A 22,614-nucleotide genomic window follows, 5' to 3' on the forward strand; every position below is an offset into this window, starting at 1 on the left:
CATGTGTTAGCATGTGTGTTGGTTTGCTAGGGCTGCCATAACCAAGTCACAGAAACCAGGTATCTTACAACAACAGAAGTGAATGGTCTCATGATCCTAAAAGCTAGAAGTTTGAAATCAAGGCATCTGCAGGACAATGTAGGGGAGACTCCTTCCTGCCTCCTCCAGCCTCTGGTGGCTCTCAGCAATCCTTGGCATTCATTAGCTTTAAGCGGCATCACCTCAACCTCTGCCTCTATCTTCACAGGTTCACACGGCCTTCTCTCTGTGTGTCTCTCTCCTCTTCTTTTCTTTTTTTTGAGATGGAGTTTCGCTCTTGTTGCCCAGTCTGGAGTGCAATGGCACAATCTCGGCTCACTGCAACCTCTGCCTCCCGGGTTCAAGCAATTCTCCTGCCTCAGCCTCCCAAAGTAGCTGGGATTACAGGCACCTGTCACCACACCTGCCTAATTTTGTATTTTTAGTAGAGGCAGAGTTTCACCATGTTGGTCAGGCTGGTCTGGAACTCCTGACCTCAGATGATCCACCCGCCTCGGCCTCTCAAAGTGCTGGGATTACAGGTGTAAGCCACTGCGCCCCGCCTTGCTTCGGGTGGTTTTTCTAACTTCAGGGCTGGGAAGCAGCCACTCTGGTGGGAAAGATTATACCTGCCCATAGGAGAGACTGGTAGGAGATGGAGAAACCTTCCAGAAGGGGGAGAAGTCAATGGATTTTCCAGGTGTTATAGTGGAAGAAGCTGGCAACTCCAGATCAGGCCTGTGGTTGTAGAAATCTGTAAGGTTCTGGAAATGCTTCCATGTTTGTTATTTTTATGCTCCTGTCCTGGGCCACAAGGAAAGAAGGCAGTCAGATCGGAGGTGACTGTGTCCTACTACACAACTGGAGAAGGGCTGAGGTGTGGCTGCGGGAAGGAGGAATGTGCTGGAGGAAAAGGACCCCACAGCTGCTGAGAGGCTGGACTGCTGCCCTGGGCTCGGGGCGGGGGCCCCAAGGTGATTCTCCAGTACCTTACTTTTCGACACCTGAAGCATTGGAGGTGTGGACACGACATTGATGACCTCTCCGCCTAAGCCCTTCACCGTCTTTCTCTGCTGCCATTTTTAATCTTCCAGAATTGCACCCAGTTTTTAAGTGGCTGGTACCCTTGCCAAGCTGCCCTTGGTTTCTCCAGTTTGTCTTCTGAACTCTAGTATGACTGGAGGCTGCTTGGAGCAGGGAGGACCACCGCACAGCCCCAGGACAGTTCAATTAGAGAAGCAATGTGCTGTGTTCTACCAGCAACAGCAGGAATGCCAATCCTAATGCTTATGCAATGCTTCTTATGTGCCAGGCGCTGTTTTAAGAATTTTACATAAATTAGCTCATTTAATCCTCACCAAAATACTATGAGAAAGGCTCTATTCTCACTCCCATCTTTATAGATAGGAAAATAGAAGCATAAAGGGGTTAGACAGTAGCTGAAAGACTGTTCCACTTGTCAAGAGAAGCTGATGCATTTCCTGAGCCTAGGGTGTTATAATGTCCCCCAGAAAAAGCCCATCCGAAGGCCAGGGTTTTTGTTTGAGACAGAGTTTCACTCTTACCGCCCAAAGCTGGAGTGCAGTGGTATGATCTGGGCTCACTGCAACCTCTGCCTCCTGGGTTCAAGTGATTCTCCTGCCTCAGCTTCCCAAGCAGCTGGGATTACAGGTCCTTGCCACCACACCTGGCTAATTTTTGTATTTTTAGTAGAGACGGGGTTTTACCATTTTGGCAAGCCTGGTCTCAAACTCCTGACCTCAGGTGATCTGCCTGCCTTGGCCTCCCAAAGTGATGGGATTACAGGCGTGGGCTATAGCGCCCGGCCAGAAAACCAGTGTTTATTGTTGGTCTTGTGGGCTGGGAGCTAATGAGCACATTCTTCAATATCAGTGGCACTCTCTGGGTTAAACGTGCAGCAATAGGTCAGAGGACACCCGGGGTGGGCATTCCCAACCAGTGATCTGGCCCTGGGGAATTTGGGGTAAACAATGATTTGAATCGTAGTTAAGCTCAAGAGCCAACAAGAAATGCCTAAACTGTGAGTAGTGCTACAGAGGATCCTGAAATCCAATGGGCTGCTTGGAATCCCCTCCCTGAGGACGCCTGGAACTGGGAGGGAGCCTTCCTCCCTAGGAATTCCATTCTCAGTGGGAGGCCACAGGGCGTGGAGCACTAGCACTGAGGTGGTTCCCAGGGCACCTCTTACAGGACAGGGGCTACAGGAATCAAGAGAATTTCTGGGATAGGGAGAGAGCTGGGGCAGTGGGTTTAGCTTCCTTCTGCATTTACTAAGGGCTAATTAATAATCATAACTAATATTGAGTGCTTGCTCAGTTTCAGGCTCCACACTAGATGCTTCTCATGCGTTGCCTTTCTCTGTCTTCCATTACCACTTCGTGAGGCAGGTGTTGTATTCCTGGACAGGGATACATAACTTACCCAAGCTAAAAAGAGCTGAGTTTTTAAAAAAGGGCCGGGCATGGTGGCTCATGCCTATAATCCCAGCACTTTGGGAGGCCCAAGCAGGAGGACTCTGTACAAAAAACAAAAAAACAAACAAACAAACTTATTGAAGGGTTGCAAACATTCAGAAAAATCTTAAGTATATAGATTGATGAAATTATGTTAAAGTGAACCCATTGGGACAACAGATAGGACATTCCCAGTGCCCCCAAAACCTCCCTTGTCCACTTCCCAATCACTACCCCTTCTTCCTCCCAAAAGGTAGACACTATCCTGATTTCCAGCACTAGCCATTAGTTTAGCCTGATTTCTAAGCTTCTGTCAATGGAATCATACAGCATGTGCTCTTCTGTGTTTGGTTTCTTTTGGTCAACGCTAAGCGGGTGACATTCCTTTATGCTGTTGTGTGCAGCTCACCCGTTCTCACTGCTGTGCGGTGCTGCACTGATGATTGTGCCGCAACTACTCTATCCAATCTACTGTTGGGGAGCATTTGTTTCCTCTCTTTCTTTTTTGCCACGGTGAAAAAAGTTTCCGTGAACATTCCCGTTCACGTCTTTGTTTGGCCACATGTACACATTTCTGCTGGGTACGTGCCCAGGAGTGGAATGACTGAGTCACAGGGTTGGTGCCAGGTGGGGTTTTGAGCCTAGACATGCCTGCTCTAAACTCAAGAGCGGTGCCATGCCATAGATCACTGTGTGGATGTGGAGGCCTACAGAGGAGACACCTGAGGTGGCAGTGGGAATGGAGGGGGAGGGATGAGAAGCAGGAGCTGCAGAGGGAGGCCTCCTGGGCAGATGGCAGTGCTGTGTTAGTCAGGCTTGGGGGAGTCTCTAGGTGCCTGTGTGACCCCCAGGAGGCACTATCCAGGGTGCCGTCTGGCTATGCCTCTTTAAGCTTGATGGGAACCCTGGGTGTGAGGGGGCCAGCCAGGGCTGAAGGTAAGGTGCCTGGGGAGGGAGGGGACAGAGACAAGCCTTGTGCCTTGGGCCCTCAACCCTCGCCACTGGAGAGTGATGTTGCCTGCTCAGACCAAGTGGGGTGGGACTGAGAGAAAGTGGTGACTGTTTATAAAGCAAGGCCAAGTGCAAGAACTGCTGAGTGACTGGGAACTTCCTGTGTGCAGACCACACCTGCTTTTTTTTTTTTTTTTTTTGAGAGTCTTGCTCCGTTGCCCAGGCTGGAGTGCAGTGGCACGATCTTGGCTCAGATCCTGGGTTCAAGCAATTCTCCTGCCTCAGTCTCCCAAGTAGCTGGGATTATAGGCATGCAGGCATGCACCACCATGCCTGGCCAATTTTTGTATTTTTAGTAGAGACAGGGTTTCGCCATGTTGGCCAGGCTGGTCTCAAACTCCTGACCTCAAGTGATCCACCCGCCTTGGTCTCCCAAAGTGCTGGGATGACAGGCGTGAGCCACCATGCCCGGCCGACACCCGCATTTTTAAGTAGCCTTCTTTTTCAGCAGTGTGACTTTTGCGGGGCAATACTCAGCAACCAGGATGATGTGGAGCTTCCGGAAGCCAAGGGCAGGCCAGGAGACAGTTTGATAAGAGGGGCATTCACGTGAGACTGCCTAGTGACCTGAGGCAGGAAAGGAGACAAACTGCAAGAGCAGGGTTGTGGTGCTGGGTGGTGAAAAGGGTTGAGCCATTGCCCCAAAGGGTGTCAGAAAGTGAAGCATTGGAGAATCACCTTGGGGCCGCCGCCCCGAGCCCAGGGCAGTGGTCCAGCCTCTCAGCAGCTGCGGGGTTTAGGGCACAGCCTCAAACCTTTAGGGGCAATCTGGGTAGTGAAAAGGGTTGAGATATTTAGGGGCAAGTCCTAGGGCAAGGTCAAAGGAGGTGCGGAGGTCAGGAGAGAGGCCAGGTGGAAAGCTCCCTAAGCCACCTGAAATATCCACAGCTAGAATAAAACAAGGCAGCCTTTTCCCAATACACAGAAAAATGCTGGCTCTAGAATTCGGCCAGCTCCATTTTCAGTGTCTTTTACACCAACATTTTAACTTTACCTTCAGTGCCTTTTACTGCTTAGTGGCAAATGTTCCTAGATGACCATGGGAATCAATGAGCAGAAAGCACTGTATTGATGACTGGAAATCCTTACTGAGAGACACACTCATCTTCACTGGAGAGCTTGTGTATGTATATGCATGTGTATGAGTGTGTGTGTGTGTGTGTGTGTGCATGCAGGTGTGCTGGGTGGAGGGTGGGGGGCACTTGTTGTGATTTCATATTGTGCCAATAAAAGCAGATTTTACGCTGGTGAGAGTGATCTCAGTTCATGGGGTGGACGTATGTGTAATGGACGGTGGTCCCCCTGCGGCCCTCTGATTGTGCAGTGATATCTGGGAAGTCTGAGAACCGCATCAGTGTGGGGTGGACTGGATAGGACGAGAGGCTGGGGACGGTGGGAAGGTGCAAGAGGAAGAAGCAGTGGAAAGGAGCTGCCAGGTGTTGGAGACAGTGTGAGGGAAGTGAGGAAGCGGCCCCAATAGAGGGCCCAAAGCAAGGGTCCCTAGAGTGCTGGAGTGGGGAAAAGGAAGGGCATTCAGTTGTAGATATCATTAGGGCTTAGGAAAAAAAGACTTAAAAAATACACTGATGGAGTTCAGACACCTTCTTCAAAGGGTGGATGATCTGAAACTAAGGGAGAGGTGAGATTTGGTTCCATTCTTCTGACAACCTGGGGAAGGGCAAATTGGGCCCCAGAATCTGGAACTCAAAGACAGACAGTAGAGATTGAGTTGAGGTGCAGTGAAAAATCATATGTAAGAGAGAAAAAGAGGCTGGGCTCAGTGGCTCACACCTGTAATCTCAGCACTTTTGGAGGCTGAGGTGGGCGGATCACCTGAGGTCAGGAGTTCGAGACCAGTCTGGCCAACATGGTGAAACCCCGTCTCTACTAAAAATACAAAAATTAACTGGGGTAGGTGGCGGGCACCTGTAATCCCAGATACTTGAGAGGCTGAGGCAGAAGAATCGCTTGAACCTGGGAGGCGGAGGTTGCAGTGAGCTGAGATTGCGCCACTGCACTCCAGCCTGGTCAATAAGAGCAAAATTCTGTCTCAAAAACAACAACAACAACAACAAAAACCAAATAAATAAATAAATAAATAAATAAAGAGAGAGAGAGAGAGAATTCTTATATGAAGTCAAAACCGGCTGTGCTGCTCTGTCCTCTGAGGCATGCGTGTATGTGTGTCTGGTCTATTCCCCTCAACAGACTATACTTTCTGCTCCACCACCTAAACTTGAGAGTTTTATTGAGGTCCTGTTCTTTTCGGTGACATCCCACCTCTTCAGCAACACCTTCCCGCCCTTCCAGTTTGAGTGCTCGGTAGCTGCACATCCTGTGAACAGGTTGCACACACAGGAATCTCAACATTATGAATAACTGCAAGCAGGATGACACCGGGATCCTCTTCTCTCCCTCCCAATGCCTGCAGTGGATATCTGGACTACATATGTAAGTAATACATCAAACTGAGTAAATACTATTGAGGAAAATGTTTACAAGGGATGGGAGGGGAAGTCTATGCCAACAAAGAGACCAGAAGCCACAAGCCCCGAGGCATCCTGGCAGGTCTGCTGCGGGGCCTGGGAGCCGGCTGCTGACACAGGGAATGTGGGCATGAGTCACCGGTGGGGGCTTCTGAGGAGGAAAACCATGACAAAGTGTGCATATTGAGAAGTGGAGTGTGCATCTGCCGTGCTCAGTAAGCCAGTTGACTGAATAACTCCAGATTAGGAGAGAGAATAGAACTTGGGAATTTTTATCATTATAAACTTGGGGTATTTTTGGTTCTAAAAATGAAATACCAAAATGTTCTGGTGAATTGTCTGAGAGAGTCTAAACCCTATATACATATACAGCCATGGAAACAGAGGCAGTCGTACTCAAGTGCAAAAAAAAGTGTGCTAGTGAAAAGTAGTAATGGGCCAGGTGCAGTGGCTTGCACCTGTAATCCCAGCACTGTGGGAGGACACAGCAGGAGGATGGCTTGAGCCCAGGAGTTCAAAACCAGCCTGGGCAATATAGCATAGGGAGACCCTATCTCTACAAAAAATAAAAAATTAGCCGGGCATGGTGATGCATGCCTGTGGTCCCAGCTACTTGGGAGGCTGAGGTGGGAGGATTGCTTGAGTCCAGGAGTTGGAGGCTGCAGTGAGTTATGATTTGCCACTGCATCCCATTCTGGGTGATAGAGTAAGACCTTGTCTCAAAGAAAAAGAAAAAAAAAAAGAAAGAAAGAAAAGGAAGAAAATTAGTAACCATCAGCTCCAGCTCCATTGCAGTCCACGTCTTAGGAGCGTGGATTTTGTTCCCACACACTTTGTGCCAGGGTTGAGCTGAGCTTTGGCACTGCTAAGCATGTCGCTTCTGGGTTAGGTAGGTGGAGTAGGTTGCTTTAGGTTTAGGGTCACAGGAGAGCTGGGCTGGCTCAGCCATCCCTCCTTCACTTAGTCATCAGAAATGTTTCCCAGGCACTCAAGCCACGTGCTGCTTTAGCATACAACAGGGAACAGTCTCTGTCCTAGAGAATTCAGTCCTCAGCCTTGCCCCTCTGCAAGGCTATGAGCAGAACTCCAGGCTACTCTCCCTTCCTGTGGTCTCAGGACTGCCAGGGGCATGGAGTATGGGGATCCCCACTTTCCAGCTCTGTTTACAGTGCTTGGATGACCATAGTATGGACAGCTGAAGGGAATCCAGGGGACTGTGTCTGTATTTCCTGGAGATGATCACTGTTCAGGCAAAGCATGGGGCACATGTCGTCATCAAATATGGCTTAGGGCTGGAAATGTCCACTGAATTTCATAGGAAAGAAACCCTTGTGGGATCCTTGGGGAAGCCAGGGATGGTGGGGGTGGGTGGGGCAGGAGCAGATGGCAGCAATTCAAAGAGCAGCAGGAGGAAATGAAAGTAAAGACATTACCTTCTTTAAAAAATGTTTATTTTATTTTACTTTTTGAGACAGGGTCTTGCTCTGTTACTGAGGTTGGAGTGCAGAACTGTGATCATAGTTCACTATAGCCTCAATTTCTCAGGTTCAAGCCATCCTCTTGCCTCAGCCTCCCAAGTAGCTGGGATGACAGGCACAGCCACCATGCCCGGCTGACACTGCCTTCTTACTGTGTAGAGCATAATGTTTGGGGGGTTTTTCCCAAGAAGCGTGAATTACTTTTGTAATTTTCGATTGTGTGTATTACATATGTCAAATGAAGAAATGGAAGATGAAAAAGTGCAGCTTGTGCGGATCTGTCTTGCAGAAGGTTCAGCTGTGAGCTAAGCTGGTGGGGGTAGCGCAGGAGCGTGTGGGGGCGTAAAGTCTGTTGTGGAGTGGGGATCTGAGTGGGCTGTGGATGCAGAAACAGATGCTACACCATGACGGGAGGACCTCAGGGAGGGTTGGGAGGGATCCAGAGTCCCAGGGAAGGAGGGCTCAGGGTTCTGCTGCAGGGGAGGGTCCTCTTCTGTGTTCCCCAAGATCAGAATGACAAAGTCAGGGATGCTGATGGCTGAGCCTCCCAACATGCAGTCGCTGCCCAGCCTGCATTCTCCCTGCCTTCATCTTTGTCCCCATGGGCACGTTTTGACCTGAAACTGACCTAAGAGAGAATAAGCTGAGTGACAAGGGAAGCCAAACTGTGTGATTCACCACGGTAGTTTGAAATCCTGATTTAGGCTTTGCTTTGCTGACTGAATTTATGCTCAGTTAGGGAGAGGATGGGGTGGCAACTTGTAGGCCTGGCATTAAGCACACTGGTCCCAGCTGAGAGCCAGGCACGATGCCCCCATCCCTCCTGGTTCATAAGGTGCTGGTCTATCAGCTCCAGTCCCCTTGCTTGGTGTCCCTGAAGTCTCAGTCTGGCAGTTTTACACGTGCTAAGGCATGAATCCGGCTTTACAGAGGGCTGTTGATCCTCAGAAGCTGACACAGAATCTGAGTATCCTCCTGAGTCCCATATTTACCTACCTATGGCAGGAGGTTTTTTAAAAAATCCTGAAGATACAAAGACTTTGAAGTGTAAGTGGCTAAAGAAAGCTCAGGTTCCTGGTGATCAGCTGCTCTGTGCTGACCTTGTGTACATTCAGAAGTTTCCAAGATGCAGCAGAGCTGGGTCTAGCAGGCATCGCCTTCTCTTTTGTTTAACACATCTGTTGAAGATCAACCAAGATGGTGAGGCATCCTTTTAGATGCTGGGGATTCAAAAAGAAATTAACGAGACCTGGTTCCTGCTCTTGGCAAACTGTCAGCTTACAGAGGAACATAGTTTTGCAAAAACATATTGGAAAGCAGGGCAGTAAGAGTGATTACAGGGGCATGTAACAGGGGAAGTGATAGGGAAAAGGGTGGAGTTTCTCCTGCACTTCGGGGAAGGCCATCAGGGTGGGTCATGGGGAAGCCCTCGATTAGTAGGTCATTTTTTTTTTTTTTTTGAGATGGAGTCTTGCTCTGTTGCCCAGGCTGGGCTACAGTGGCGCGATCTCGGGTCACTACAACCTCCACCTCCTGGGTTCAAGCAATTCTCCTGCCTCAGCCTCCCGAGTAGCTGGGATTACAGGCACGTGCCACCACGCCCGGCTAATTTTTGTATTTTTAGTAGAGATGGGGTTTCACCATGTTAGCCAGGCTGGTCTCAAACTTCTGACCTCATGATATGCCCACCTCAGTCTCCCAAAGTGCTGGGATTACAGGCGTGAGCCACCGCGCCTGGCCGATCAGTAGGTCTTTTAATAGGTTCTCACCTCACAGGACTCCCTCAACTGGCCTTGTAAATCCAACCACATTTATTCTGTTGAATAAAAGGTTCCATTGGCAAAAGACCCAAGGCCTTTTGTCCTTAGAGTAGGCATGGATTTTCTAGTGATACCCCACTATTGCTAATCCCATGCAGAGCAGGAAAAAGGTGGCAGAACTGGCAGTTAAGTGCACACATGCATTTACTTCTAGACATTTAATCACAAAGAAAACTTCCTTAAAAGAAGCTGAAGTTCCGAAATGGTTACATGAATTGAGATTGTAATAGGAGGGATCTAGGTGCTGTCAATTGAATGGAGTGAGGCCCAAACAGCAACTAATCTCTTTAATAGGGAGATCCAGAAATACACAGAGACCTTTCTTTATATTCCTAAACTGATGAGAAAGGTAATCTGGCCTAGTGATTCCACAGATTGACTTCAGGACACTCTAGGTTGCTCCCACGAGTGTGGGAATCAACTCAGAGAAATTTGCAAAAACTCCAAAACAAATCATTTTGGTTTTTAAAAACATGAGTGTTTTAAAACTGTTTTTTAAAAAATGAGTGACTAAGAGATGTCCCGTTCCCCACTCACTTCTTCTCTCGTAGGCAGTGGGAGAGCTGGAAGAGCCTGTTACAAACCTCAGCCCATTAGCATCTCCCAGCTCTGTCTTTTGAGAAGATGACTGAGAGGAAGGTGGTATTGAGAAAACAAAGCATCCAGCCTTTGTGAAGCTGAGCCTTAAGGTCCCCTCTCCAGCCCTGGCTGACCCCAGACCCTCGTTTTCTTCTCTGGCATCCAACTTCAAGGATTGGCCTGTTTCCCTTTAACTATAGCTACCACTCAGCTCACTCGCTGAAGAAGGCAGAGCCCACGCCTCCTGGCACAGTTTCCCTTCGGCTACCTAAGGCAAGCGAATGAGTCTTTTTCATCGTAATGAGCTGTATTTCCCTCACTATGGAACAACAGGGGCTAAACAAATTAATAAATATGCTCAGCTTTTCCTTCTTGGTTTGTGAATTCTCTCTACGTTTTGGCTATCATCCTAACCACTTGCCACAAGCAGCACAATTAATGTTTTTTCTGCAATTAATGTTTTTTCCCCATTTAGCTTGCTCTTTCTTTCTTTTCTTTCTTTTCTCTCTCTCTCTCTCTCTTTCTGTGCTGGGATTACAGGCATGAACCACCGCGCCCGGTCGAGTTTTTTTCTTAATATGCTGTTTTGCTGAACTGAGTTTTAGTTCCTAGTAACAGAGACTAACTCTGGAAAGCTTTCGTCAACGACAATGAAAACAACAGCAGCAAAAGAAATTATCAGACGGTTGTTATCTCATGAGATCTACTTTGGATTAGTGCTGTCATGTTCCCCTCCAAGCATTCACACAGGAATGTGGTCATGTCATTTCTAGAACAGTATGAAGACAAGTAGGATCTTTACAGCCCTGAGTCTTCCCATCTGAGCTTGAGGTCTGGCTCTCCCAGTCTCTCTCACTGAGAACAATTTTTACACATAATACTGGGGTTTAAAAAGCTCAAGCCACTTGAGGTGGGATGTTTTTCTGAGGAAATACCTGGACAAGGGTGCATTTGTGTCCACTAAGGAAAATGTTGGAAATACCCTAAACATCAAGAATAGGAGATTGGTACCCCCACAGTAACAGACATTCAAAATCTAGAACTATTATCATTGTAACTTAGCAGTGGTAAAGCCATAATTGGAAGCCAGCCTGTCTGATATCACTATCTGGTCTTCACCCCAAGCTGCACTGCCTTCTATACACATTTCTCATTCACTTCACCTGGGCTAGCTCTCTCGGCAAATAAGGCAATGAATCTGGAGAAGCAGGTCCTACAGAACAATTTATATCAAGGCGAATGGATACTTTAATTTTCATACTAATGAAAGTTAACACTGTTGCTAAATTCCAGACAATGTGAGAAGGTTTTAAATCACTCTCTCCTTCAGTTCTTCATTTAGCCTTGGGAGATGGGAACTGGTTATTTTATTTTCTTCTTTGGTGAGGGATGGCGTCTCACTCTGTCATCCAGGCTGGAGTACAGTGGCACAATCTCAGCTCACTGCAACCTCCGCCTCCCAGGTTCAAGCAATTCTCCTGCCTTAGCCTCCCGAGCAGTGGGGAATATAGGCATGCAGCACCATATCTGGCTAATTTTTGTATTTTTAGTAGAGATGGGGTTTCACCATGTTGGCCAGATTGGTCTCGAACTCCTGACCTCAAGTGATCTGCCCACCTTGGCCTCCCAAAGTGCTGGAGCTAGTTATTTTATGAACACTGTGGTGCACTTGTGTGCTCCTCCACCACTAGGTTCCCCCTGCCTCCCTCCTTCCAAACCAAGGTGGGGCAGGCCCTATAGGTGCATGCAGTTTTCTCTCTCTTCAAGATAAACATACTGCTTGTAATTTTGAAAGGCATGTTACAGACATATAACTGAGCTAGTGCTGAATTTTTAAAAAATGGTCCAAAGACAAATTATTCAACTAAATGAACAAATTGTGTAATTGCTATGTATATCTTTCAAAATCATAACAAAATAATTCATTGAAACTTGACAGTCGGATAAAATATAATTTCTCAGTACTTCTCTTTTTGTTTTGAGACAGGGTCTCACTCTGTTGCCCAGGCTGGAATGCAGTGGCACCATCAGGGCTCACTGCAGCCTCGACTTCCCCCTCAAGTAGCTGGGACTGCAGGCACACGCCACCACACTAGGCTATATTTTGTATGTTTTGCAGAGATGGGGTTTCACCACGTTGCCCAGGTTGGGCTTGAACTCCTGGGGCTCAAGGGATCCGCTAGACTCAACCTCCCAAAGTTTTGAAATTACAGGTGTGAGCCACCACACCTGGCCTCAGAATATTAATTTAAGTTATCCTGAGTCGGCAGTTTTGATAAGCTACTTTCTCCTACCTATGCAGATTTTGTACATATAATAAATGTTGGCTTTACTAAAAATGCCTATGCCTGATTTTGTGTCTTTTTTTTTTTTTTTGGTGTTTTGTTTTGTTTTGTTTTTGAGACGGGGTCTCGCTCTGTCGCCCAGGCTGGAGTGCAGTGGCACAATCTCTGCTCACTGCAAGCTCCGCCTCCCGGGTTCACGCCATTCTCCAGCCTCAGCCTCCCCAGTAGCTGGGGCTACAGGCGCCCGCCACTGCGCCCAGCTAATTTTGTTTTTGTATTTTTGGTAGAGACAGGGTTTCACCATGTTAGCCAGGATGGTCTCGATCTCCTGACCTCGTGATCCGCCCGCCTCGGACTCCCAAAATGCTGGGATTACAGGCGTGAGCCACCGCGCCCGGTCGATTTTGTGTTTCTTTTAGCCCATCTTCCAGAAATGTCCAGACTCTACTGTCTTTGTTGTAAAAGAAGCATATTTTATTTTTTATTTATTGTTTCTTCTTAGCGGTTTATTTTTAAAAGACAGGAAAATGATCAGCTTGCATCCTGAATCGGACCACTTACTTATAAACGATAGTTCTTCTTTGAAGCAGACGATGACATTTTAGTTTATATTTAAGGGGAAACACATTCAAATGCTATTTGGACTCAAATTTCTAAGGAAGAAAAGGAAGTGGTAAACTCTGAAGATAGAACCTCAATTCCCTTGCTGAGTGACGCGGTCAATGAGCACCAATCGCCTACGGGAGGCCAGAAAAGGCTGCGTGGTGCTCCCCTCTCAGGGCCTGGCCCTGTCCACCTGGGCCTTGGTGACCCGCAGCCGGGACTCTTGCTGTAAAGTGACGCAGTGCTCTCCCTGGGAGGACAGTGGGTCCAGCAAACCCAACTCAGCCCTCAGGGGGCACTTGAAATTGTAACTACCCCAGGCCTTTGGAAACAACCCTCAACCTTGAAAGGGGAAATTCCCAGTGGGAATTGATGCAAACTGTGGTCAGTTACACAAAAAGGTAGAGTTTACTGTAATCTGGGGGCTATTTTTGGTTGCAGAAAGAATCCCCGGAGTAGAGAAGGAGGCCAGCGAGTCTCAGTTCGCTGCTCGCTCAGAGCCGCCCAGGTGCGAGGGCGTCTTCACCAGAAATCGGTGCTCCCGCGCGCCCCACCCTCCGGGGCCCTGCAGATGCCGGGTCGGGGGCCGCCAGCAGGCCCTTTGGCTCCTGCTGGAGACACTGGAAGACCAGGCGACCAGGACAGCGGGTCGGGCCAGTGCGGTGTGACACGAGGGCTCGAGCGGCTTCGCAGTTTAAACGTGTCCTCATCCTACACCTCCCACGGCTGTTTCGGATTCGGTGCCCTCGTGCCCCTCAGCTTGCCCAGCGGCACGTGGGCCTCAAGCCTGGTCCCCAGCGGCTGCGCCAGCCTAGCTGTGTTCACCTTGGGGCCGCGAGGGCCTCCCACCGGCTGGCAGCTGGTGGACACGCTGTCAAGATCGGGGGAAAAAAAGGAAGGAAGGAGGCTAGGGGGACACAGGGCTGGTGGCCTCCGCAGTCTTTGACCTGCGACGGGCGCGAGCGCACCTCCGCGCCTTTGCGCAGAGACCTTCCCCCAAGATTGGCTCACGACGCCTCCTACCCCGAAGTCAAGGGCTCCCTGTGGCAAATCCTCACACGCCCTCCTCCTCCCCGCCCATCCCCGGCGCCAGGACTGACGGGGAGAGGGCAAGGCCGGGCCAGAGGGGCTGTGGGCCTGGACTGCGGCTGTCGCCCGCGGCCCTGCTCTTTTGGGCAGCCAGACGTGGGGTCAGCGCCCAGTCGCAGCCTCCGGGGGTGAGTCCGCAGATCCCCGCACGTGACACAGGCCAGGCATGGGGACGGGGAGTTCCTCGTCGTCCGTTCCCACTCAGATGCTCCCTGAGGTTCCGGAACACCCCGCCCCCCATCCCAGGATCTGACCAACCCTCAAGCCACGGCCGGCCCCGGTTCCGCGAGACGGGGGACTCTGAGGATTGTCCTCCCTTCCGGGCTGGGACTCCCCCACAGCAGCCGACCGCCCCCAGTTCAGAGTGGCCCGGCCCGCAGCGCTCCCCGGGCACAGGTCCCAGGTGGACGGCTCCGCTCCCGCGCCCGGCTCCTCTGCCCGCCAAGCGCCCCGGGGATTCCCCGGCCTCCAAGCGGCCGCGGCCGGGTGGAGTCAGCCCCGAAGCCCGGGATCCCCCGAAGGGAGAAAACCCGCTCTGCTCCTCTGAAGCGGCGGGAGAAACCGGCCCCACCCAGGTCCGGGGGCCCGACGCCCTCGGCGGAGGCCGGCTCCAGGGGTCCGAGGTTCCCGAAGCTGGAGGCCGGCTCCGCCCCGGCGTCCCCCCGCCGCCACCTCCGCCCCCATCCCGCGGGCCGGCGGAGGGAGGGGCGGGGCCGCTTGCCGCCCGCGACTCGGGTTCGGCTTCTTTAGTGATTGCTTCTGCTTCTCCCGCGCCAGCTGTCCCCAGCTCTGGGGCAACGCTGCCAGGTGCCCAGTCCCCGCGCTCGAGAGAGCGCCTGCCTGGCTCTGAACTCTGGCCAGGAAGGGGCGCGAGGGGAAGGCCCCGGGGGAAGGCGTGTCCCCGCGCCCCGCCCCGCCCCGCCTCGGAAAGCCCCCGCGGTCCCGCCCACCCCAGGGGCTCGCTCAGCCTCCGGAGACTTTTTTCTTTGAGCGCAGCCGCCTGGTGCCGGTTTCCGCCGAGCTGGAGCGCGCGGGCCACGGCTTCTCTGGGGACGCAGAAGCGAGAAGCGGGGACCTCGGCGCGCGCCCCGCGTCCCGCTCTTCCTGCCCGCGCCCCGGCCCCCGGCCCGCGCCCCGGCCGCCGGCATGGTGCTGCTGGCCGGGACCGGGCCGGAGGGCGGCGGGGCGCGCTGCATGACCCCACCACCGCCGTCCCCACCCCGGGGCGCGCAGGTCGAGGAGGACCCCGCTGACTACGAAGAGTTTGAGGACTTCTCGAGTCTGCCAGACACCCGCAGCATCGCCTCGGACGACTCTTTCTACCCTTTCGAGGACGAGGAGGAGCACGGCGTCGAGAGCGCGGAGAGCGTCCCGGAGGGCGTCCCGGAAAGCGTCCCGGAGACGGCGACCCTCCTGCGCGCCGCCTGCGCCAACAACGTGGGGCTGCTGCGGACGCTGGTGCGGCGCGGGGTGAGCGTCGAGGAGGCGCAGGAGACTGACCGCAACGGCAGGGTAAGCGGGCGTCCCCGCAGGATTTGAGCCCCCTCACTGCCCCCACTCCCCTCCTCCCCACCACATCCCCGCGCCTCCCAGCTCCTGGCTCCGGACCGGTCCCTCGGTCACTCAGCCGCCGCCCAGAGCGCCTTTTCCCCGCTGTTTGGGAGCGCGGTGCCCTGGGTGGCTTCCCCGTCTCAGGCTGGGGGACGCGGTGCGGGGAGGGAGCAGTCGAGGTGTCAGCGCGGCAGAAACGCCAGTCCGGCGTCCTCACCGCATCCCCTTCTCGTTTACCGGTCCCCGTGGACCTCCTGACTGAATTCGCGCTGGCTGCCCGTGCTGCAATCCAGGATGGGCTTCTTGCGGCCCGGTCCCCTCCTGACTATTACCTTTCCCCAGGTCCCTGGCAGGGGACCATTCCTCCTCCCCTGCAGGAGACAGCCCCTCCTGCCCAGCGCCCCATTTGGCCCCTGGGCCCCTCGCGCCGCCCTTGTCCTAACACGCTGGGGCGCAGATCGGCTCCTCCAGCCGCAATGATTTGGAAGCAACAGTTTCTTCCCTCGCCGGGACAGCTTGGTCCCCTACCCCACCTCCGCTGAGCTTTGTGGCCCGCGCCGCGACCAGCCAACGTGATCTCTGACTGGTCTGTCCGCAGGTCACCTTCGCGAGCCAATGCCAGCCGGGGCTCCCCAGAGTCAGGGCATAGGGAGAGCCCCAGAGCCGCGGGCATCCACCCGGGTAGGGCAGGAGGCGTGGAGGCAGGCACAGGCTATCCTTTCGTTATGACCAGATTCAGAGAAAACGAGATGTTTAGAAAAGAAAAGAAAAGAAAGGAAAAGAAAAAAAGTTGGCTTAAGAAGACCTGAGAAGGACTGGCTGGTGGAACACCTTCCACCAAGCAAAGCACTTCAAGGGAAAACTGCAGAGTGACCACGGTGGCCAAGTTCCCCGTAGTCTGTGCTCAGTGGGCAAATGGCAGCGTTCTCACCTGATTTTTGTATTGTCCAAGGACCGTGGTATCTGCAGATGCAGCCTAGCACAAATGCACATGCTTTTTGCTCAGGAGCCTGCAGCTGACAGAAAACATGTGCTTTGACTTGGGGACCCGGGTGACCTTGTGCCTTTGGTTTATCCTGCAGTGGGTGGGGCAAGTGGTTTGCCCTGACTGTGGTTTGGGCTGGGCTTAGGTGGATGGGAAGCCCTCCAATGTCACTCTCCCCTTGTACTACATTGCCCCCGTGATTCAATTACCTCCCACCGTGTCCCTCCCACAACACGTGGGAATTCAAGATGAGATTTGGGTGGGGACACAGCCAAACCATATCACACAACATTTGAACTTGGAGGAAGGGTCTGTGCTTGTCATATGTTAGGCAGTGAGACCTGAGGTGGCGTCCCCGTAGGTAGCATCACCTGGAGCCCTGTAGTTCCTGCTGCCATTCCTCTTGCAATGCCTCCTCCCCCAGCCCTGGCGACAGATGCCCTGGCTGGCATGTGATTAGGGCTTGGAGCTCCACCCGAAGTCCTAGGGCCTGTTTCTCAAGTTCTACATTTGGTTTAACTGAGTTTTCAGGCCCAGATGTGTGTAATCAGAAACCTTGCTTTCTGGAAGCCAGTATGGGGGCCCGCTTTAAAGGAAGCCTCACCAAGCTCATAAAGGAACAGGTGGGGTGGGCCTCTCCCCCTGTCCTGGGCAGCCTGGTGGTCTCCAGTGGGCTGGAATGGGCACAGGAGGGGCCTGGCTCGCCCAGTCCCCACTCTAGGGCACCACTGGGCTCAGCTTTATATAATGTTTCCTTTAGGGGCAAAACATAAATGTTTGAAAACAGCTGCATTGAAGAAAACTGACAGCAACGTAAACCATCCCCAGGGGCTCGAGCCTAACAGACTGAGTCTCCAGGCCACACAGCAGAGAGGCAGGGGAGGGCCGTGGTATGGGAGGCTAGCTCCAGCCTCCCAGCAGCTCTCTGCCTCAGTTTCCTCGTCTGTAAAATAGGGATAAGGGCAGCCTCTCCTCTTAGGATGTGAGCATAAAATGGCTTAGTGCCCACAAGGCTCTGGGAAGGCCTGGCCCCAGGCTTGTGTTTACCATCGTGTTTCTCATTCGTCTGCCTTCTCTTGGCTTGGAAGAGAGCACCTTCCAGTTTTATTTTGTTTTGTTTTGTTTTTTGTCTTCTGCCAGGCAAGGCTTTTTCTCTCGCTGCTTTTCTTCCCCTTTGATTACAGCAGAAGTGAAGACTTTGTTTCTCTGTGTCACGTAAAATAATGATGTAGGCCCGGACATAGCCTGCTAACTTAGAGACCCTTGGACTCTTTCATCTTTGGATCAGACGGAGCAGGGCTTGTGTTCTGTGCTTTGTGAGGCCAGTGGGGGGAGCGAGGCAGGAGCCTCCATTCTTTTCATTAGCTTCTCAAGGCTGTTGATCAAACAGCCTCTATCTTCCTGAAAAACAGCTGAAAGAATCAAGTGTGGCAAAGCCCTGATGCCCTGCTCTGTGGTAAATGGAGTGAGTCATTGCCAAAGTGTTTACCGCAGACCTACTGTGCTCCCGCTAGGTACTTTAGCAGACTCAAAACTGAATCTGGCAGTCCCTGCCTTTGAAGAGTCCTAGCCTTTTAGTGAGGAGAAGAACTTGCAGAGGAAGAGCGGCTAGCTGAGACCTAGGAAACTGGGAGACGGACTGCTTTTCACATGACGGTGTCCGGTCTCCCCGACGGCAGTGTGGGTCACTCCCTCTCTGTCTGCAGGCTCCTGGTTTAAGGGCACCTTCCCTGGGAGGCTTTTCTGTCTCCTCTTGTCCAAGCCTACAGAACCTGGAGCTGAGCAAGGGTAATGTAGGCATTCACACATTTAGGGCTGAAATTATAAATAGGATGGTCATTTAGAGAGCAGGTGACGTTTGAGCAGAGACGGCATCTAGGGGAAAGAGGAGTTAGACGGAGGGAACAGTGTGTGCAAAGACTGAGGTGGGAACCTCGTTGGAGCCTGGTCTCCAAGCTTATCATGATTAGTGGCAGTGAAAACCTTAAAGAAGGCCCGGACAGCTTTGGTGCAGTGGAGGGGTAATTGCATTAATGACAGAATGACAGCTCACAGATACAGCCCACAGCCGGCTTTCTAGGAGGAAATGATCTCTAAAGGCGTCTAAACTTTTCTGGGACATGCTTGTTGAGCTCTTCATCTCTGGGCATTTAAGAAGGGAGCTTTGCCTGAGCTGACAGGCATTCCATTTGGTCTGGGTAACTAAGGGTCAGATGTGTTTTGTTTAAGAAAATGCATTCTCTCCTGCCTCCTGAGATTGGTAGAATGTTGGATGTGGCTCAGCACACCATTTTCCTTCTAAAATATTTATTGCTCTAAAAGCATTGCATGATTTAATATGCAACATGTAAATATTTGTCAGATAATTGCCCAATAACATTCAAAGCTTGCTTCCAATGTCTTCTGGATTTATGGTTGTTTTGTTCCTTCTGACTTGAGGCAGTGCAAGCTGCCATAATTCTTTTTCTTAATTCTTCTCTTCCACTTACTATCACCTGAAGTTCACCTTTATGGCCTTGGCGGCTCTTGAGATGACAGTGAAAACACACAAAGTGTGTTGTTTTAATTGTTGCAGAAGGGCAGTTTAAATGTCAGACAGCTCTTGGACTTAATTAGGCCCAAATACATGCTCAATTTAAAATACTGCACTCCTGTCCTGATGGGATTCTGCTTCTGCGTGTTCGTGTTTGTTTTTGAGACTGAGTCTTGCTCTGTCACTCAGGCTGGAGTGCAGTGGCGCAATCTCTGCTCACTGCAACCTCCGCCTCCGGGGTTCAAGTGAATCTCCTGCCTCAGCTTCCCACATACCTGGGATTACAGGCGTGCGCCACCACGCCCGGCTAATTTTTGTATTTTTAGTAGAGACAGGGTTTCATCATGATGGCCAGGCTGGTGTTGAACTCCTGACCTCAAGTGATCCTCTTGCTTGGCCTCTGAAAGTTCTGGGATTACCGGTGTGAGGCACCGCGCCTGCCCTGCTTCTGCGTGTTTAAATTTCCAGGGTCTCTTGGTTACGTTTTCCAAAGGCCCCTCCATTGGTTTGTTTTGTTAGGTCAGCAAAGCCCACATCACACCCAGTGTGGGTGTTTCCCTTTACTCTTGAGGTGCTTAAAATTAAAACTTAATTTTCATAGATTTATAGCGATGATCAGGGCTTTATCTTGAAATGTATGTGAGAAAGTTTTTATTTATTTATTTTTTTAATACTTCCGAAAGATTTATAAGCTCCAGAATCACTTTTCCCCAAAAATGAGAATCCAGTTATTGCAACAGCCCTCCGTCTTTACCAGGCCTCGGTGCTCATGGCCTGCGTGTGCACAGCAACGGGCTGACTAGCATAGAAAGTGACTTCTCTGGTTCTTGTTAGTTACCATAGAAAGTGAATTCTGGCCTCAGGCCTCTGTATGCTTGCGGAGGGCCTGCAAGCACAAGCTTTGCTTTTTAGGAATGTATGTTAGGCTGGGCGTGGTGGCTCCTTCCTGTAATCCCAGCACTTTGGGAGGCCGAGGCAGGCAGATCACTTGAGCCTAGGAGTTTGAGAACAGCCTGGGCAACATGGTGAAAGCCCATCTCTAAAAAAATACCAAAATTAGGCAGGCATGGTGGTGGACGCCTGTAGTCCCAGCTACTGGGGAGGCTGAGGCAGGAGACTCGCTTGAGCCCAGGAGGTGGAGGTTGCAGTGAGTTGAGATTGCACCACTGCGCCCCAGGCTGGGCGACAGAACAAGACCCGTGTTTGAAAATAAATAAATAAATAAATAAATAAATAGAGGCATGTATGCTAGTGTTTTAGTTGCATCTCCAAATTCTGAACTGTGAGAAAGCGGGTGAGGAGGGCAAATTGAGCAGAATCCTAGACCGGGAGTCCGAGGGGCTGGAGTCAGAGGAGGTCTCAGCTGAAATGGGCTTGGCGATGGGTGGGCTGGCAGATGTCTGCCTCTTCCTCTTCTGCTGACCGTGGTGGGGAGCATTCTGAGTCTAGCAGCAGTAGAGAGGCCCATGTGTTTTTTGTTTGTTTGTTTTTGTTTTTTTGTTTAGAGATGGAGTCTCGCTCTGTCACCCAGTCTAGAGTGCAGTGGTGTGATATCAGCTCACTGCAACCTCCGTCTCCCAGGTTCAAGCGATTCTCCCGACTCAGCCTCCTGAGTAGCTGGGATTACAGGCATGTGCCACCATGCCCGACTAATTTTTATGTTTTTAGTAGAGACGGGGTTGCGCCATGTTGGCCAGGCTGGTCTCGAACTCCTGAGCTCAAGTGATCCACCCACCTCGGCCTCCCAAAGTGCTGGGATTACAGGCATGAGCCACTGCACCCAGCCCCCATGTGTTTTTGATATAAGAATGTCAGTCATCTGTGGCCACAATCATGCTGCCTACCAAATAGCTACAAAACCTTACAGGTGTTTACAACTGTAAATGTTTTGTTGGGGGTGGCCTATCTCAGCTGATGTAGGCTGGATTTGCTCATTCGTCTTCATTCAGCTGGTGGTCAGCTGCGAATGGCAAGACCAAAACAGTCTTAACTGGGAGGACTCATCGCTGCTCCATTTGGTCTCTCATCCTTCAGCAGGCTGTCTCGGCCTGTTTTCCATGGCAGGGGCAGGGTTCCAGGAGAGCAGGCTGAGCAAATATGGCCTCATGATGCTTCAGCTTGGCTGAAGCATCACTTCTGGCTGCTTTGTCACGTATTGCTTCTTTATTTTATTTTATATTATTTTGAGATAGAGTCTCACTCTGTTGCCCAGGCTGGAGTACAGTGGCATAATCCTAGCTCACTGAGCCTTGACCTCCTGGGCACAAATGAACCTCCCACCTCAGCCTTCTGAGTAGCTGGGACTATAGGTGCACACCTCCACGCCAGGCTAATTTTTATTTATTTTTTGTAGAGACAGGATCTTGCTATGTTGCCCAGGCTGGTCTCAAACTCCTGGCATCAAGCAGTCCTCCTGCCTCAGCCTCCCAAGGTGCTGGGATTATAGGCATGAGCTACCATGCCTGGCCTCCTTTATTCTTTTCAGATTCTTTAACAACATGACTCAAATAACCTTTTTTTTTTTTTTTTTTGTCAATTAGGACTCATTAAAGAAGAGAAAACAGGCATTTAGTTTTTAAAAAAATTCCTTGGTATAAGTGTGTTTGTGTTTATAACATTGTAATTATTATTATTATTGGTCAGCTGCCAACCTGAAAACAAACAACAGGTAGAATAATCTACTTCAAGCCTGTACTTACAGTGCTAATTTCCCCCATAGTCTGTGACTTTGCCCCTGATCTACAGTGTGAAATGGAGAGAGGGCTCTGCTGCGTTTGGGTTTCTTGAGTACTTATTTTAAAATCTTATTTGTTTATTTATTTATTTTTTTGAGATGGATCTCGCTCTGTTGCCCAGGCTGGAGTGCAGTGGTGCGATCTCGGCCCACTGCAACCTCCACCTCCCGGGTTCAAGCGATTGTCCTGCCTCAGCCTCCTGAGTAGCTGGGACTACAGGCATGCGTCACGATGCCCAGCTAAATTTTGAATTTTGAGTAGAGATGGAGTTTCGCCATGTTGGCCAGGCTGGTCTCAAACTCCTGACCTCAGGTGATTCACCCACCTCAGCCTCCCAAAGCGCTGGGATTACAGGCCTGTGCCACCGCCCCTGGCCTCTTGAGTATTTATTTGAGCCAACAGGTGTCCACACTGGGGCTTGTGCCTGGAACCCAGAGTGTGCTTTTCATTTCCTAGTCCTGATCTCCAGCTCTGATTTTTTTAGATTGAGGAAATATCCATCACCTCAAGGGGTTAATAGTTTTCTGAAATAAATTTAAAAAACAAAATTTGGATAAATTTAAACAACAATGACAAAGTTGAAAAAAATGTGAGTCCAGATTTCTGAGGTGTTTGCACCAGGTAGTCTCCCAGAGATGGTGGTTCCCAGCTTGGACTGTACATTAGAATCATCTGGAAAGGTCTATAAAAGTCCAAGTGCCCAGGCCACATCTCAGAATTAAGTGAGAATCTGAGGGTAAGATAAGGCATCCGTATTTTCTTTTTTCTTTTTTTTTTTTTGAGACGGAGTTTTGCTCTTATTGCCCAGGCCGGAGTGCAGTGGCGCAATCTCGGCTCACTGCAACCTCTGCCTCCCAGGTTCAAGCAATTCTCCTGCTTCAGCCTCCCAAGTAGCCGGGATTACAGGCACCCGCCACCATGTCTGGCTAATTTTTGTATTTTTAGTAGAGATGGGGTTTTACCATGT

The 22,614-nt window shown here is 50.9% G+C and overlaps 1 protein-coding gene across 1 annotated transcript in view, besides 15 other annotated features; it reads left to right on the plus strand.

Moving 5' to 3' along the window:
• Window positions 2,259-3,056: an enhancer, noted in NCBI's record as "NANOG-H3K27ac-H3K4me1 hESC enhancer chr5:10551849-10552646 (GRCh37/hg19 assembly coordinates)". NCBI's record gives its function as "activates a minimal SCP1, AML or CMV promoter by ChIP-STARR-seq in naive H9 embryonic stem cells {active_cell/tissue: H9 hESC(naive)}" and the evidence as "EXISTENCE:reporter gene assay evidence [ECO:0000049][PMID:30033119]".
• Window positions 3,207-3,256: an enhancer, noted in NCBI's record as "active region_22356". NCBI's record gives its function as "activates an Ori minimal core promoter by ATAC-STARR-seq in GM12878 lymphoblastoid cells {active_cell/tissue: GM12878}" and the evidence as "EXISTENCE:reporter gene assay evidence [ECO:0000049][PMID:35858748]".
• Window positions 14,176-15,035: a silencer, noted in NCBI's record as "silent region_15922". NCBI's record gives its function as "represses an Ori minimal core promoter by ATAC-STARR-seq in GM12878 lymphoblastoid cells {active_cell/tissue: GM12878}" and the evidence as "EXISTENCE:reporter gene assay evidence [ECO:0000049][PMID:35858748]".
• Window positions 14,176-15,549: a biological region, named in NCBI's record as "H3K27ac-H3K4me1 hESC enhancer GRCh37_chr5:10564245-10565139".
• ANKRD33B (ankyrin repeat domain 33B) overlaps window positions 14,592-22,614 on the plus strand; it is a 93,747-nt gene continuing 85,724 nt past the window's right edge. The window contains exon 1 of the mRNA NM_001164440.2: window positions 14,592-15,355. Coding sequence (NP_001157912.1) covers window positions 14,990-15,355 — 366 coding nt within the window. The 5' untranslated portion in view covers window positions 14,592-14,989. The remainder of the gene's footprint in view (window positions 15,356-22,614) is intronic.
• Window positions 14,655-15,549: an enhancer, noted in NCBI's record as "H3K27ac-H3K4me1 hESC enhancer chr5:10564245-10565139 (GRCh37/hg19 assembly coordinates)". NCBI's record gives its function as "activates a minimal SCP1, AML or CMV promoter by ChIP-STARR-seq in naive and primed H9 embryonic stem cells {active_cell/tissue: H9 hESC(naive and primed)}" and the evidence as "EXISTENCE:reporter gene assay evidence [ECO:0000049][PMID:30033119]".
• Window positions 15,376-15,425: a silencer, noted in NCBI's record as "silent region_15923". NCBI's record gives its function as "represses an Ori minimal core promoter by ATAC-STARR-seq in GM12878 lymphoblastoid cells {active_cell/tissue: GM12878}" and the evidence as "EXISTENCE:reporter gene assay evidence [ECO:0000049][PMID:35858748]".
• Window positions 15,550-16,443: an enhancer, noted in NCBI's record as "H3K27ac-H3K4me1 hESC enhancer chr5:10565140-10566033 (GRCh37/hg19 assembly coordinates)". NCBI's record gives its function as "activates a minimal SCP1, AML or CMV promoter by ChIP-STARR-seq in primed H9 embryonic stem cells {active_cell/tissue: H9 hESC(primed)}" and the evidence as "EXISTENCE:reporter gene assay evidence [ECO:0000049][PMID:30033119]".
• Window positions 15,550-16,445: a biological region, named in NCBI's record as "H3K27ac-H3K4me1 hESC enhancer GRCh37_chr5:10565140-10566033".
• Window positions 15,566-15,775: an enhancer, noted in NCBI's record as "active region_22357". NCBI's record gives its function as "activates an Ori minimal core promoter by ATAC-STARR-seq in GM12878 lymphoblastoid cells {active_cell/tissue: GM12878}" and the evidence as "EXISTENCE:reporter gene assay evidence [ECO:0000049][PMID:35858748]".
• Window positions 16,096-16,145: an enhancer, noted in NCBI's record as "active region_22358". NCBI's record gives its function as "activates an Ori minimal core promoter by ATAC-STARR-seq in GM12878 lymphoblastoid cells {active_cell/tissue: GM12878}" and the evidence as "EXISTENCE:reporter gene assay evidence [ECO:0000049][PMID:35858748]".
• Window positions 16,166-16,255: an enhancer, noted in NCBI's record as "active region_22359". NCBI's record gives its function as "activates an Ori minimal core promoter by ATAC-STARR-seq in GM12878 lymphoblastoid cells {active_cell/tissue: GM12878}" and the evidence as "EXISTENCE:reporter gene assay evidence [ECO:0000049][PMID:35858748]".
• Window positions 16,396-16,445: a silencer, noted in NCBI's record as "silent region_15924". NCBI's record gives its function as "represses an Ori minimal core promoter by ATAC-STARR-seq in GM12878 lymphoblastoid cells {active_cell/tissue: GM12878}" and the evidence as "EXISTENCE:reporter gene assay evidence [ECO:0000049][PMID:35858748]".
• Window positions 16,547-17,048: an enhancer, noted in NCBI's record as "H3K4me1 hESC enhancer chr5:10566137-10566638 (GRCh37/hg19 assembly coordinates)". NCBI's record gives its function as "activates a minimal SCP1, AML or CMV promoter by ChIP-STARR-seq in primed H9 embryonic stem cells {active_cell/tissue: H9 hESC(primed)}" and the evidence as "EXISTENCE:reporter gene assay evidence [ECO:0000049][PMID:30033119]".
• Window positions 17,576-17,635: an enhancer, noted in NCBI's record as "active region_22360". NCBI's record gives its function as "activates an Ori minimal core promoter by ATAC-STARR-seq in GM12878 lymphoblastoid cells {active_cell/tissue: GM12878}" and the evidence as "EXISTENCE:reporter gene assay evidence [ECO:0000049][PMID:35858748]".
• Window positions 17,716-17,765: an enhancer, noted in NCBI's record as "active region_22361". NCBI's record gives its function as "activates an Ori minimal core promoter by ATAC-STARR-seq in GM12878 lymphoblastoid cells {active_cell/tissue: GM12878}" and the evidence as "EXISTENCE:reporter gene assay evidence [ECO:0000049][PMID:35858748]".

This window comes from Homo sapiens, chromosome 5 (genome assembly GCF_000001405.40).
Source record: "Homo sapiens chromosome 5, GRCh38.p14 Primary Assembly".
NCBI classification, from domain to species: Eukaryota; Metazoa; Chordata; class Mammalia; order Primates; family Hominidae; genus Homo; species Homo sapiens.